Source organism: Homo sapiens, chromosome 12 (genome assembly GCF_000001405.40).
Source record: "Homo sapiens chromosome 12, GRCh38.p14 Primary Assembly".
Taxonomy (NCBI): domain Eukaryota; kingdom Metazoa; phylum Chordata; class Mammalia; order Primates; family Hominidae; genus Homo; species Homo sapiens.
This window is the reverse complement of record NC_000012.12, coordinates 1420910-1433277: the sequence shown is the minus strand read 5'-3', so window position 1 is coordinate 1433277 and position 12368 is coordinate 1420910. Positions and strand designations below refer to the sequence as shown.

At 39.5% G+C, this 12368-nt stretch overlaps 1 protein-coding gene across 54 annotated transcripts in view, besides 1 other annotated feature; it reads right to left on the bottom strand.

Annotated features, from left to right (window-relative positions):
- The window catches only part of ERC1 (ELKS/RAB6-interacting/CAST family member 1), a 505975-nt gene that overhangs the window by 62656 nt on the left and 430951 nt on the right, over nucleotides 1-12368 (bottom strand). The gene's annotated exons all lie outside the window — the stretch shown is intronic.
- Nucleotides 10032-10081: an enhancer, noted in NCBI's record as "active region_5796". NCBI's record gives its function as "activates an Ori minimal core promoter by ATAC-STARR-seq in GM12878 lymphoblastoid cells {active_cell/tissue: GM12878}" and the evidence as "EXISTENCE:reporter gene assay evidence [ECO:0000049][PMID:35858748]".

The window sequence follows — 12368 nt, the reverse complement described above, 5'->3', positions numbered from 1 at the left end:
ACCTTCCAGGAAAGCATGCTGTGTGCCTGCATGCTTGCCCTTATCTGCTCTCACGTCAGTTACTTCCCTCAGGAAATTTTTTAATTAGCCTGGAATTAAATTAATTTAGGCGATCCTCTGCATCTTATAATCTTAACTAAGAATTGCATCTACCTAAACATTTCTTTGGCAACGGCTGCTGTGGCATCACAGCACCTTACAGTACTACACTGGATGCAGACACAGTAGTCCATCCTTTAGTACCAGGGCAGGCAATGTAGCTCCCGTGGCTATGGCCATTCAAACACCGCACAGCCAGGAGGATGCAGGCGGTTGGCTGGTGACATCACGTTAATGACTGGGTATTCAGTTTCAGAGACTGTGGTGAAAAAAGTTTTTTTTGGTTTTTGTTTTTTAACCCAGAGGCTACGCTCACTAGAGACAGATGTGTATCACTTATGTGCTATGACATCTTTGCACTGTATTGATAGTTCTGTGCCACAGAGCAGAATTACACACAGAGTGATACAGTGGTGAAGAGCATGGGCTCTGGAGACACACTGTACGGCTTGATTCCAGGGTCTGTTACATTCTAGGTAGGAGACCTGGAACAAGTTGCTTTGGTAACAGTGTATTAATGGGTTTGTGATAATCTATGTGCCTGCCACATAGTTAAGTTCTTCAATAATTATTAACTACTATTATTTCCAATAACCTGTTTTGTCATCTGTAAACTGGGAATAATTATGCCCATCCTTGTGAAGATCACGGTACATGTAAAGACAAGTTATCCTTGGTAACTACCTGACATCCTCACCCTGAGGACATTTTAATGCCACCACATGCTTGGCCTCACCAAGGCCTGTGGATGGCTAGTGAAGGCATGTAAAATGACAAGAAGCACAACAAGAACCAGATAAGCAACACAGCACTACAGTCCATGAACCAAATTCAGCTCCGCCTTCTTCGTACAGCCCATCAGCTAAAAATGGTTTTATATGAACATGAGATTTCAGTGTCTAAAGTTTGTTAGTTCATAGCCACAGTCATTCATTCACATATTGCCTATGGCTGCTTTCACACTACAACAGCAGAGGTGGATTGTTTTGGCAGGAAGTACACAGTTTGCAAAGCCTAAGTATATGCTATCCCAGCACTTTGGGAGGTCGAGGTGGGAGGACTGCTTGAGCTCAGGAGTTCGAGACCAACCTGGGCAAAACACAGAGACTCAACTCTACAAAAAGTTTAAAAAGTCAGCAGGGTAAGGTGGTGCATGCCAATAGTCCCAGTTACTCAGGAGGCTGAGGTAAGAGGACTGCTTGAGCCTGGGAAGGAGGTTGAGGCTGCAGGGAACTGCGATTGCACCACTGCACTCCCTGTCTCAAAAACAAACAAAAACCAAAAGTGTAACTATACACTATTTACTATCTGGACCATTAAAAAATGTTTGCCAATTTCCATAACAGACCAATCTCAGATAACAGGGTAAATATAATATTAAAGAGGAAATTCTTATAATTTTCCAACAGATTATTGTAAAAAGGAATAATAATTACTATCTTAAAAAATCCATTCACAATGAAAAGTACTTGTATCAAGAATAATATTAACACAAAATAAAACATTGGCTAAATGGAAAATTGGATTTGGCAATAGGCATAAAATGAAAACTGACAGTTACAGGAAGTGATAATTAGTAAAATCTATGTAAAAACTGATAAATAAAATCGTTATGCAATTTAAATATGAAAAAGTGATACTAATTAAAATGATTCCATAAGATAATTTAAAAATCTGAACATTTTCAACTACATGTATAAATTGATCAAGATACTAAGTTAACTTAGTTTCAGCTCCAGAAAACGCTCAGTTAAAAATTCCTTGATACTGATACAACCTGAATTAAATATCTGTGAATAGGTTAAATGTTTCTATTGGGTCCAATGTTTTCAAGGTTAGACAAGTCTAAAACACTAATTGGTTCAAAACAGCATCCTGTACTCATTTTGAGTACAGAATACAAAAGATGGAAGGAATTTTAGAGATATCTGCCCCTGTCCCCTGCCTAACTTTCTGAATGAAAAATTCAAAATCCTGAGGGGTGACTTGATCTGTAAAGATGACCAGCAGCTAAGTTCTCAGTCGGCATCAGCGCATCACAGCTCGTGGTTCTCCCCGGAGCGGTTATAGAACTTTCAGGCTTTATTTCATTGCTTTTCCCTGAGTAGTTCCTACGGGCAAGTTAACTTTCTGAATTATAACTGGGCATTCAGACGGTGTTCTCTATTTTCTCAACCAAGAGAGACTAGAAACCATTTGGGACATTTCCTATAAGAACCAGAGCTTCTTGATAATAAACATATTCTCACTTATAAACTCTTCTATCACTGCACCCCTTCAGCCCCTCAGCATCACTCTCCAGGACAAAGTAGCAAGCTCTGAACTGGCTGTCCTGTTTCCAGTACTCTGCCCCGTATACCTCCCTCTCCACCTGTCCAACCTCTACAGATTGCAATGGCATGCTGAGGTCTTCACGATCCACCTGCTGCTGACTGCAACCACCTAATGGCTTGTTTTTCCCTCTCTGACATCCCATAGTAATTGAAAAAATAAACCTGAGGCTGGGTGCAGTGGCTCATGCCTGTAATTCCAGCACTTTGGGAGGCCAAGGCAGGTGAATCTCTTGAGGTCAGGAGTTTGAGACTAGCCTGGCCAACATGGTGAAACCCTGTCTCTACTAAAAATACAAAAAAATTAGCCAAGTGTGGTGGTGCATGCCTGTAATCCCAGATACTCGGGAGGCTGAGGCAGGAGAATCGCTTGAACCCGGGAGGCAGAGGTTGCAGAGAGCCGAGATCAAGCCACTGCACTCCAGCCTGGGCAACAGAGCGAGACTCTGCTGCCAAAAAAAAAAAAAGCCTGAAAATTATTTAGCATTCCTCCTTTCAAAAAGTGGTGCCTAAGCCCTAATACCCCACTCAGTGTGGGATGGTCTTAGTGACTCACTTCTAAGGAACAGAATGTGGCCGAAGGGATGTTGTGTAACTTATGATTCTAGGTCATAAAAGGCATTGTGGCTTCCTTCTGGCTCTCATCTCTTGGATCACTCATTTTGGGTGAAGCTGGACTCCATGTCACCACATCCAGGAGCCCAATGGAGAGGTTCCATATGGCAAGGAACGGAAGGTTCCTTCCAATAGGTGGCACAAACTGTGGGTGAGCAATCCTGGAATTGGCTGTTCTATCCCCAGGGAAGGTTTTAGATAATTGCGGTCCCATGAGAGACCCCAAGTAAGAACTGCCCAGCTAAGACGCTGCTGAATTCCTGGCACATAGAAACCACTGAGATGAAAATCATTTATTGTTGTTTTATGCTGCCACACTTTGGGGTAATGTGTAATGCTGCAACAGATAATTGACATACACCCGAACTACTATGTATAATGAGCTGCCAAGAATATACTAAATTTGTTATGCTGCTTATGCTTCTATATCTTTGCAAATGTCCTTATCTAAAATTGTATCTGCCTGGCAAATGCCTACTGCTCCTTCAAGAGTTAGCTCAAGTGTCACCTTCTTTGTGAACCCCTAAATCTCTCTGGAGACCTGGGTTTTTCTATTGCATCTTGTATAATTTTTCTCTGTTGGAGAAAATCCATCATTTAGCAGTTGTTTCAATGTCTTGAAACATGTATTTTTTACCACGTACCTAATGCAGTGTTAGGCACATGGCAGACGTCCCAAAAATATTTTTGAATTAATCTTATTTCTCATTTCAGTTTTAAACCAAAATAATAAAAGTTTCACATCACATAGAATTATTCTACATGAACTTGAGGATTCAGATGTAAATGATAAAGGAGTGTGGAGAATGTACTTTTCAGTTAAAACATGAAATCAGAGATAAACATCCTGGTTCAATTCTTAGAAGACAAAACAATATGAGTACTAGATTTTTAAATAGTGACCCAACAACAAAATGATTATGTGACCAAATGTAAGATGTTTTCATTTGATTCTAGAATACCAACAGCAAAATCTTAATAACTTATTTCATATTCACATGAAGACACAGACAATCTAATACCTTTCTAGGCTTGCCAAATCCCTCCTCCTGCAAAAAGTTTGTGATCCTAGTCTTGAAATACAGGAAGAAACAGTGCTATGTGTTCAGTAGTGACTATCTATCAATGAAAAGAAATGAAGTTTTGCTAACAAGTGTTTTGCCTTAAAACCTGAATTTTCACCAAAAAAAAGCCATCTGTTTTGAATATTGTATAGAGCAAGCCTCTATTTGTGCTCTGCTTTGATCTCCTAGCATAATAGGAAGCCAGGGATACAGTGCAGCTACCCCTCAATCAAGTGTGCTCATTTAATTTATCCCAGAAATGCCGAGCCAGATCCAGCTGGAAACTTTAGCCTCATCATCCTAGGATCAGGAAGAAGAAGGAAGGCACATCAGGGAGAATAGCTCTTTTATTTTGGTTGATAATGCAGTTCTGTGTCTAAGAACTGCAAAACAGTTAACCCAAAACAGATAGTAATCCTGAAGAACAAATCAGCGCGGAGCTGAGGACAAGTGAATGAAAGCAGTACTGCGGGGTCCTATCGTAAAGGGTCTGCTGTTTAATATTTCAGATAAAATGTGAGTTGAACCATATCCTCCACAACGTAACTCTATGAAATCAAGATGTGATGGAATACACAAGTGTTAGGCCTGTCTTCCAAAACTGGTATTAAAAAAAGGTCAAGTCGTAGGCTAACTGAGGGGGGTGAGTAACGAACTTCATGATATAACATTCTAGAAGGCACACTAGGTATTTACTGGAGCTAAGATCAGCCTGGGACACTAATACACATGAACGGAACCCAATTATAGGATAACCTATTAGGGTGCAGGGAGAAACCAAAAGATTAAAAATAGCTACTACACTGCAGAAAACTGTAAATAACATACATGCAACTTTTCTTTAGGGTAAAACTCATCCACGTTTTATTTAAATAAATATTTGTTGAGCCCTGTCGGGTGCCCACATTTTCAGATGACTGTGTGGGAAACAAGTAATACGTGAAGAGTTTTATTTTGTACAAAGTACAAAGATACTTTGTTGTCCAGGAAGAATGTCTAAATCACAAATAATACCACAAATAGGGGAAGATAGCTCTTCCTCATTAGTAAAATGCCCATAATCATTAAGATATGAACCCACGGATCTGAGTGCATATGTTCCAGAGATGCTTCAAATGCTATATAATTTTCAGTCTAATAAATAAATCAAGTGAGTCCCAGGACAAATGCCACCTTAAATCACTCAACAGAAACCACAGAAAAGCAGGATCTACCTGTGAAACACTATAAATGATGTCTTAAAATACATTAAGTAAAAGGTTCTACCCCAAATTACTTACAATGCACTCATGTAGCCTAAGAGGTCTCTGCCTCAATGTCACCCTCACTGCCATTTATTGAGCACGTCCTATATGTCAGGCAAAGGGCTGAGTGCACTGACTACATTATTACATTTAATTCCCACCTTAACCTTTGGCATAGGTTTTATGATTGCCATTTAACAAATGAGGGACCTGATGCTTAGAGAAGAAGTGACGTGACTTGTGGGCAGTTACACGACCACCACGCTGGATTCAAATTAGGTCTTAGGGCAAAGACACTCTTTATCACCAAGTTAAAAGGCCCTCAAAATAATACAAACGCCCTGTAGGGGAAGCAAAAGAAAATATATCTTGCCAGTTTTACAGGTGGGATGCAATATATTAAAAAAAAGAAAATACGAAATTTATAGTTGCACTACTGTCATGTATCACAATTATGACAACAGCACATAAGAGAAACAGTAATGCTGATCTGTGATATTCACTGAGATTGCATCGGGGTGATGGGATTATGGACGATTCTTTTTCTTTTCTGTTTTCCAAGTTAAGTGGTTACTGTTGACTATAAATCTCTCCTCCAATCCAACTTCCTCATGTAAAAGTTCTGATAGGCATCGAGGCACCCAGGTTTCACACAAAGAAGGCCCCCAGCAGTGCTTTACACAGTATGTGTAGTGTCTGCCAGGTAGAGAGCACACATTATAAATCTAGGAGATATGGTGAGACCTACTCCTTTCTTGTCTGCTTGAGTATGCTTTTGTCTTGATGGTCATCTGGTTCTGGAAGGGTCTGTCTGGGATTTAAGAACACAAAGAGCAGATGAAAGCAGGTCTGAGACACTTCTAGGCTGGTGTCCAGTTATCAGAGAAATTCTAGTTAAGAATAAAGTATATATATCTGCCTGTAGTGTCCCAGGCACTGCAGCTCTCCAGACATATATGTTCTAGTGGGCCACTAGAAGGAGGGCAGACACAGCTGTTTTGAAGGAATTCCAAAGGTTTTGATACTTCTATGGAGAAAAAATGGTTTTTACGAAAAAGGTGGAAGATGGAATGTGGCCCAGTCACAAACCACTCTAAATTATGAAGAAAAAAAGAACGACACATTGAATTTAGAGGTACAAAGACAGAATGGTAAGACAACCTGGGGTAGAATTAAGAAATAAAAGCAGCATTCCAGTGATATGATAATGTTGACAGAGCTTTCAAATCTGCAATAGTATGCATTACTATACCACACTAGACGAACTACTGTAGTCCACAAAACGTACAATATAGTTGTAGTCTAAATTTGGCAAAAGCTGTATAGTCTAGAGCAAAGATCCTAGAATTCTGGGAATTTCTGCAAGTTATTCAAAAGTAATTGAGTTCTAGAGAATATTAATGTTTAACAAAAGAGACTAACCCTAAAAATCCAGAAATCTGGTATCTTCCAATATTAGTAAACGACTACACCCTGCTCCTATTGACATTCCTCTAACTTACTTGTAAAGAATGTTCTAAAGGCCGGGCAAAGTGGCTCATACCTGTAATGCCAGCATTTTGGGAGGTTGAGGCGGGTGGATCACCTGAGGTCAGGAGTTCGAGACCAGCCTGGCCAACACGGTGAAAACCTGTCTCTACTAAGAATACAAAACTAGACGGGTGTGGTGGTGCACGCACTTGTAATCCCAGCTACCTGGGAGGCTGAGGCAGGAGAATCACTTGAACCCAGGAGGTGGAGGTTGCAGTGAGCAGAGATCGCACCATTGCACTCCAGCCTGGGCAATAAGAGCGAAGCTCCATCTCAAAAAAAAAAAAAAAAAATCTAAAAACTCCCTGTGTTAGACTTCAGATACTATGCAAAAGCTATATAGAAGTACATGGTGGCTACCTACAGGTTAGTAAACAACAGCTATTAATTGTATGGCAAATTATGGATTTACAAACTACTTTCACATTCATTACATCGGTGCCTCAAGAAAAGTAGGATAGTTATCATCACTTCCATTTCAGAGATGAATAAACTGAGGTACCAAGAGGTTAATGGATTACTTTGAAGTCTCTGACCCTGATTCAATGCTTTTTCTATTACTTTAAGTAGGTGTCTACATTTTTCTTGGATAATTCATGTTACGCAGAAAAACAGACATATCTGAACCTTGAGGAATTTAATAGCTCTGTGCATTAGGGCCAGAAAAATGATAGTTGATCCTAATACTAAGTCTGTCAGAAAAAAAGTAAGTTTGGCCATTAAAAGGATGTGCTGAAAGCTCTAAGTGACGTAAACAGATCAACATTGTCTCACAGTCATTCTGTGAAGCCGAAAACACACTGAGGAGAAATGACTGCGTGAGACCTTTGTTCACAGGGGAATGATGATTACTGTAACCAGTTCCTCCTCTGTTCCAGTCCTTGCTATGAGGAAAGGCTGCACAGGTACAGACAACTGGCATGTCTTAGGACAGTCAGAGATTCAGGAATTTGGGCTGGTGAGAATGCTGGTACTTAAGTTTGTTTCTCTGCTCTGTTTGTCAAGAGCTTCTACAAGTCTGTGGGGAAGGGGAAGAAAGCAGAATGCAGAAGAGGTCACCATCCACTCTAACAGGAAAATATTCCTGTCCCCACAAGAGATGTGGCTATGCCATCACACTAAAAAGTGCTCTCACTGCCAACTACCAAGCACAATCCAGCATAAGTGCCTACTAAAATTATGTATGTGCTTTATGTTCCAGGAAGCAGATAGTTTTGTTTACACAACAGAAACACAAATTTAAAGGAAATAATACTCCTGGCAGCAAAGAATTCTAACCCTGTTCTACTCTAAGCAGTAGCATGCTATTCCAACCCCTACTCCCCACAAAAAATTAACAGGCAACTGAACAATAAGAAAAGAAAAAAAAAGGTTCTTAGGTTTTAAGGATTTAAGAAAAAGCTTCTTGAGGTCTCAAGCCACTCTGACATCTCCCTGGCTATGCGTTAGTGAGCTATTATCGACCTGTGGAGTAGAGACAGATTATCTATCTATCTATCTATCTATCTATCTATCTATCTATCTATCTATCGATCTATCTATCTATCTATCATCTATCTATCTATCTATCTATCTATCTATCTATCTATCTATCTATCTATCATCTCAAGCTCTTCTCAAGACACACTTTCAGCAGACGGCTGGGTAGAGAGAATCACAGGCAATTACTTCAGTGTTTATTTCTTTTTCAAAGGTCAAAACCATTTTTAGTTTGTTTACTTCTAGGGATGAAGAAACAAGAGGAAAAGGGAGGATGACAGTGAGCTTCCTAAGGCTGCCTGGGTCTCTCCTGTCTTCCTGGTTAAGACACCACTGCCTTGAGGATCTTTAGAATTAAGAAAAACTACTCTTTTTTGCTTTTTTCCCAATGGTTCTTTTAGAGACATAAGAGACTACTCTTTTTAAATCGTGATATGAAGAAACCACTTTGTTTTAAACAGCTAAAGAACAGAATAGAATTGTACTTGTGTTGGTATACAGAGAATGAGCTTTGGTTCAAGCAAATATCAGGAAAGCAGTAAAACTGTAGCCAAAGGTCATAAGGTGTCGTATTTATGAAGCTGTCCTTCCTGACCTGCTCTAATTCTTCTATTACCCCTCTATTGAAAACACCTGACATTGTATGTTCAATCATTAGTTTTTTCTCTAAAGATTTAAGGTAGATTGCCTACTCATTCATTATGTCATTATGAGCTGCTTCTTCCTTCAATATTAGTTATTAGAAGGCTAGGACCAACGCTCAGTCAACCTTGGAGGTAACTAACTTCCTGAAGTGAGTACTATTTTATCCACAGCATCTCATCCACACTGAGACTTAGAAAATAGATTATTAAAAAAGAAACATACACACACACACACACGTACATACACACACGAAACCATATTATCTGGCAATCTGCCACCCAGAAAATACTAAAATTCAATATTCAACAAGTATTCATTGAATACCTATTACTTGTTTAACAATATTTACATCTACCTTTACTGTTACTTTGTAGTGCCCCTTGCTGATTTAAGACAGATAAAGTAGATTTCAAGACAAATGATATTTCTGAAAATCAAAAGGGATGTTTCACAGTGGTAAGAAGGCCAGTTTATCAGGAGTATATAACAATCATAAATGAGTCTGCAAACACAGCCAGAGCTTCAAAATACAATGTAAAACCTGAAATAATTCAAAGGACAAGCAGAAAAATCTCCGATTTTTGTTGGAGATTTGAATGCTTCTTTCTCTGCAATTAACAGACCTCTCCCTCTACAAAAATTCAGTGAAGACAGGGAGGATCTGACAGACTCTATCAACCACCTGACCCAGTTGATACTTACAGAACACTGTATGTGACAATTAAAGAATACCATTCCTTTAAGAGCACAAGTTATGTTCACTAAGATGGATCATGTTTTGGGCCATAAAACAACAGTCTCAAAAATGTAAAATAATTAAGACAATACAATGTATGGTTTGTGATCACAGTGAGATTAAACAGCTGTTAAAAGATAAACAAAGGCACGTTAAAATTTTAAAGAGTTTATTTGAGCAGACAACAATTCGTTAATCAGGCAGCCTTAGGCCATAAGTGGTGGGGGGTTCTGATGAAGAGACTGGTAGAAGACTTTTGTAAGGTGAAAGCAGAAGCAAGGTAAAGAAAATCTCTTATTGGTTAAAGTGGGGCAGTAATGTTTTTTGGATCATTCCAGTGGAAAGTCCCTGGTTAGAGGTTGGCCAGGCAGTTCCTGATCGGTTAAACTTGAGTATTGGAAAGCCCCTAGGTAGGGGGTTAGTTGGTGGTTTCTGATTGGCCTAGAATATGACTGTTTACAAAGAGTTGGGTTTCAGTTTGTTTATGTAGGAACTCAGGGCATTGGAGCTGCCTTAGCCTAACGGCCTCCCAACCAAAATTACGCTGAGTTTGAAATAGGTACATGAAAAAATGCTGAGCATCACTAATCATTTGCATGCAAATGCAAACCATGAGATACCATCACACACCAATCAAAATCGCTATTATTTAAAAACCCCAAAAAACAAAAAATAACAAATGCTGGAGAGGATGTGGAGAAAAGGGAACTCTTACACAGTGTTTGTGGCAATGTAAATTAGAACAGCCATTACAGAAAACAGCATGGAGGGTTTTCAGCAAACTAAAATAGAACTATCATACAATCCAGCTATGATACCACTAGGTATATATCCAAAGGAAAGGAAATCAGTAATCAAAGAGATCACTGTACTCCCATGTTTAGTGCAGCACTATTTACAACTGCCAAGATATGGAACTAACCTAAGTATCCATCAACAGACGAATGGATAAATGTGGCAAATATCTATACAATGCAATGCTATTTAGTGATTAAAAAAAAAAAGAATGAAATTCTGTCATTTTAGCAACACAGATGAGCTGGGAGGACAATATGTTAAGTGAAAAAGTCAGGCACAGAGAGATAAATACCATACTTTCTCATTCATGTATGGAAGCTTAAAAGGTTGATCTCATACAAACAGAGAGTAGAATAGTGATTACTAGAGGCCAGGAAGGGTAGGGGGAAGGGGAAAGCCAGGGGTGGGTTAATGAATATAAAATTGCTTTTGCAAGAATTATAAAAGTGAGAAAAATCTAACCTGACTCCATCTTGCTTCTAACGTCACAAGCTCACTCCCCTGCTCATTCCTGGGCATAGGCCAAGCTAACTATGGGAGGAATTTAGCTTATAGTTTAACTTTGAAGCAAAAATGATAATAGTCCCTCTGCAAGCTGACCCCCACGGGGGACTGAAACCATCTCTGTAAGACAAATGAAAGGCCACAAGGTTAGGATTATGGGAAAAGACTGAATTCTGCTAAGATGTAGGTGTAGTTAAATGATAACCAGCCATTGTTCCCTAGCTTATTTTGCCAGGCTGGAGTGCAATGGCATGATCTCGGCTTACTACAACCTCTGCCTCCCTGGTTCAAGCAATTCTCCTGCCTCAGCTTCCCAAGTAGCTGGGACTACAGGCACGCACCACCATACCCAGCTAATTTTTTTTTTTTTTTGTATTTTTAGTAGAGATGGGGTTTCACCATGTTGGCCAGGATGGTCTCGATCTCCTGACCTCATGATCCACCTGCCTCAGCCTCCCAAAGTGTTGGGATTACAGGCGTGAGCCACTGTGCGCAGCCCGTTCCCTAGCTTACTTTTCTAAAATTGCTTACTCATCAAGAGTCATGTAGCTGGAGGTTACAAAATTTGTAACTTCCCCAATTACTCCTATAGATAACATCACTGTTGTAAAACCTAAGATTGGTCTTTAAGATATTTTTCAGACTTTTGCATTCTGGCAACCAACTGACTCCACTCGGACCTGTTACTCATACCAAGGAACTGACTCAACCGGTCTTGTGACCCCCACCTAGAAACTGATTTAGTGTATGAAGATAGCTTTTGACACCTCTATGATCGCAACCCCAACCAATCAGCAGTACCCGTTCCTTAGCCCTCAGCCTGCTAAATTATCCTGGAAGACCCTAGCCTCTGAGTTCTTGGGGAGGAAGATTTGAGAAATATCTCTCGTCCTCTGATCAGCTGCCTTGAGATAATTAAACCCTTTCTCTACTGCAATGCTGCTGTCTCAGTGTATTGGCTTTTCTGTGCAGTGGGTGAGAAGAATCCGCTGAGCGAGTAAAAGCACAGGTAGATGGGAGGAACAAGTTCTAATGTTCCATAGCACTATAAGGTGACTATAATTAACAACAATTTGTTATGTATTTTTCAATAGCTAGAAGAGTGAATATTAAATGTTCCCAACACAAAGAAATGATGTCTGAGGTGACAGATATGCTAATTACTGATTTGAGTATTATACATTATACACATTTATCAAAATATCACTGTACCCTATAAACATAAAATTATTAGATGTCAATTTAAAAATAATAATAAAGGAAAAGATTTAAATACAATAATAGAATGCTTTATAATTAACCCCCCCCCCCCCCAAACCAAAAC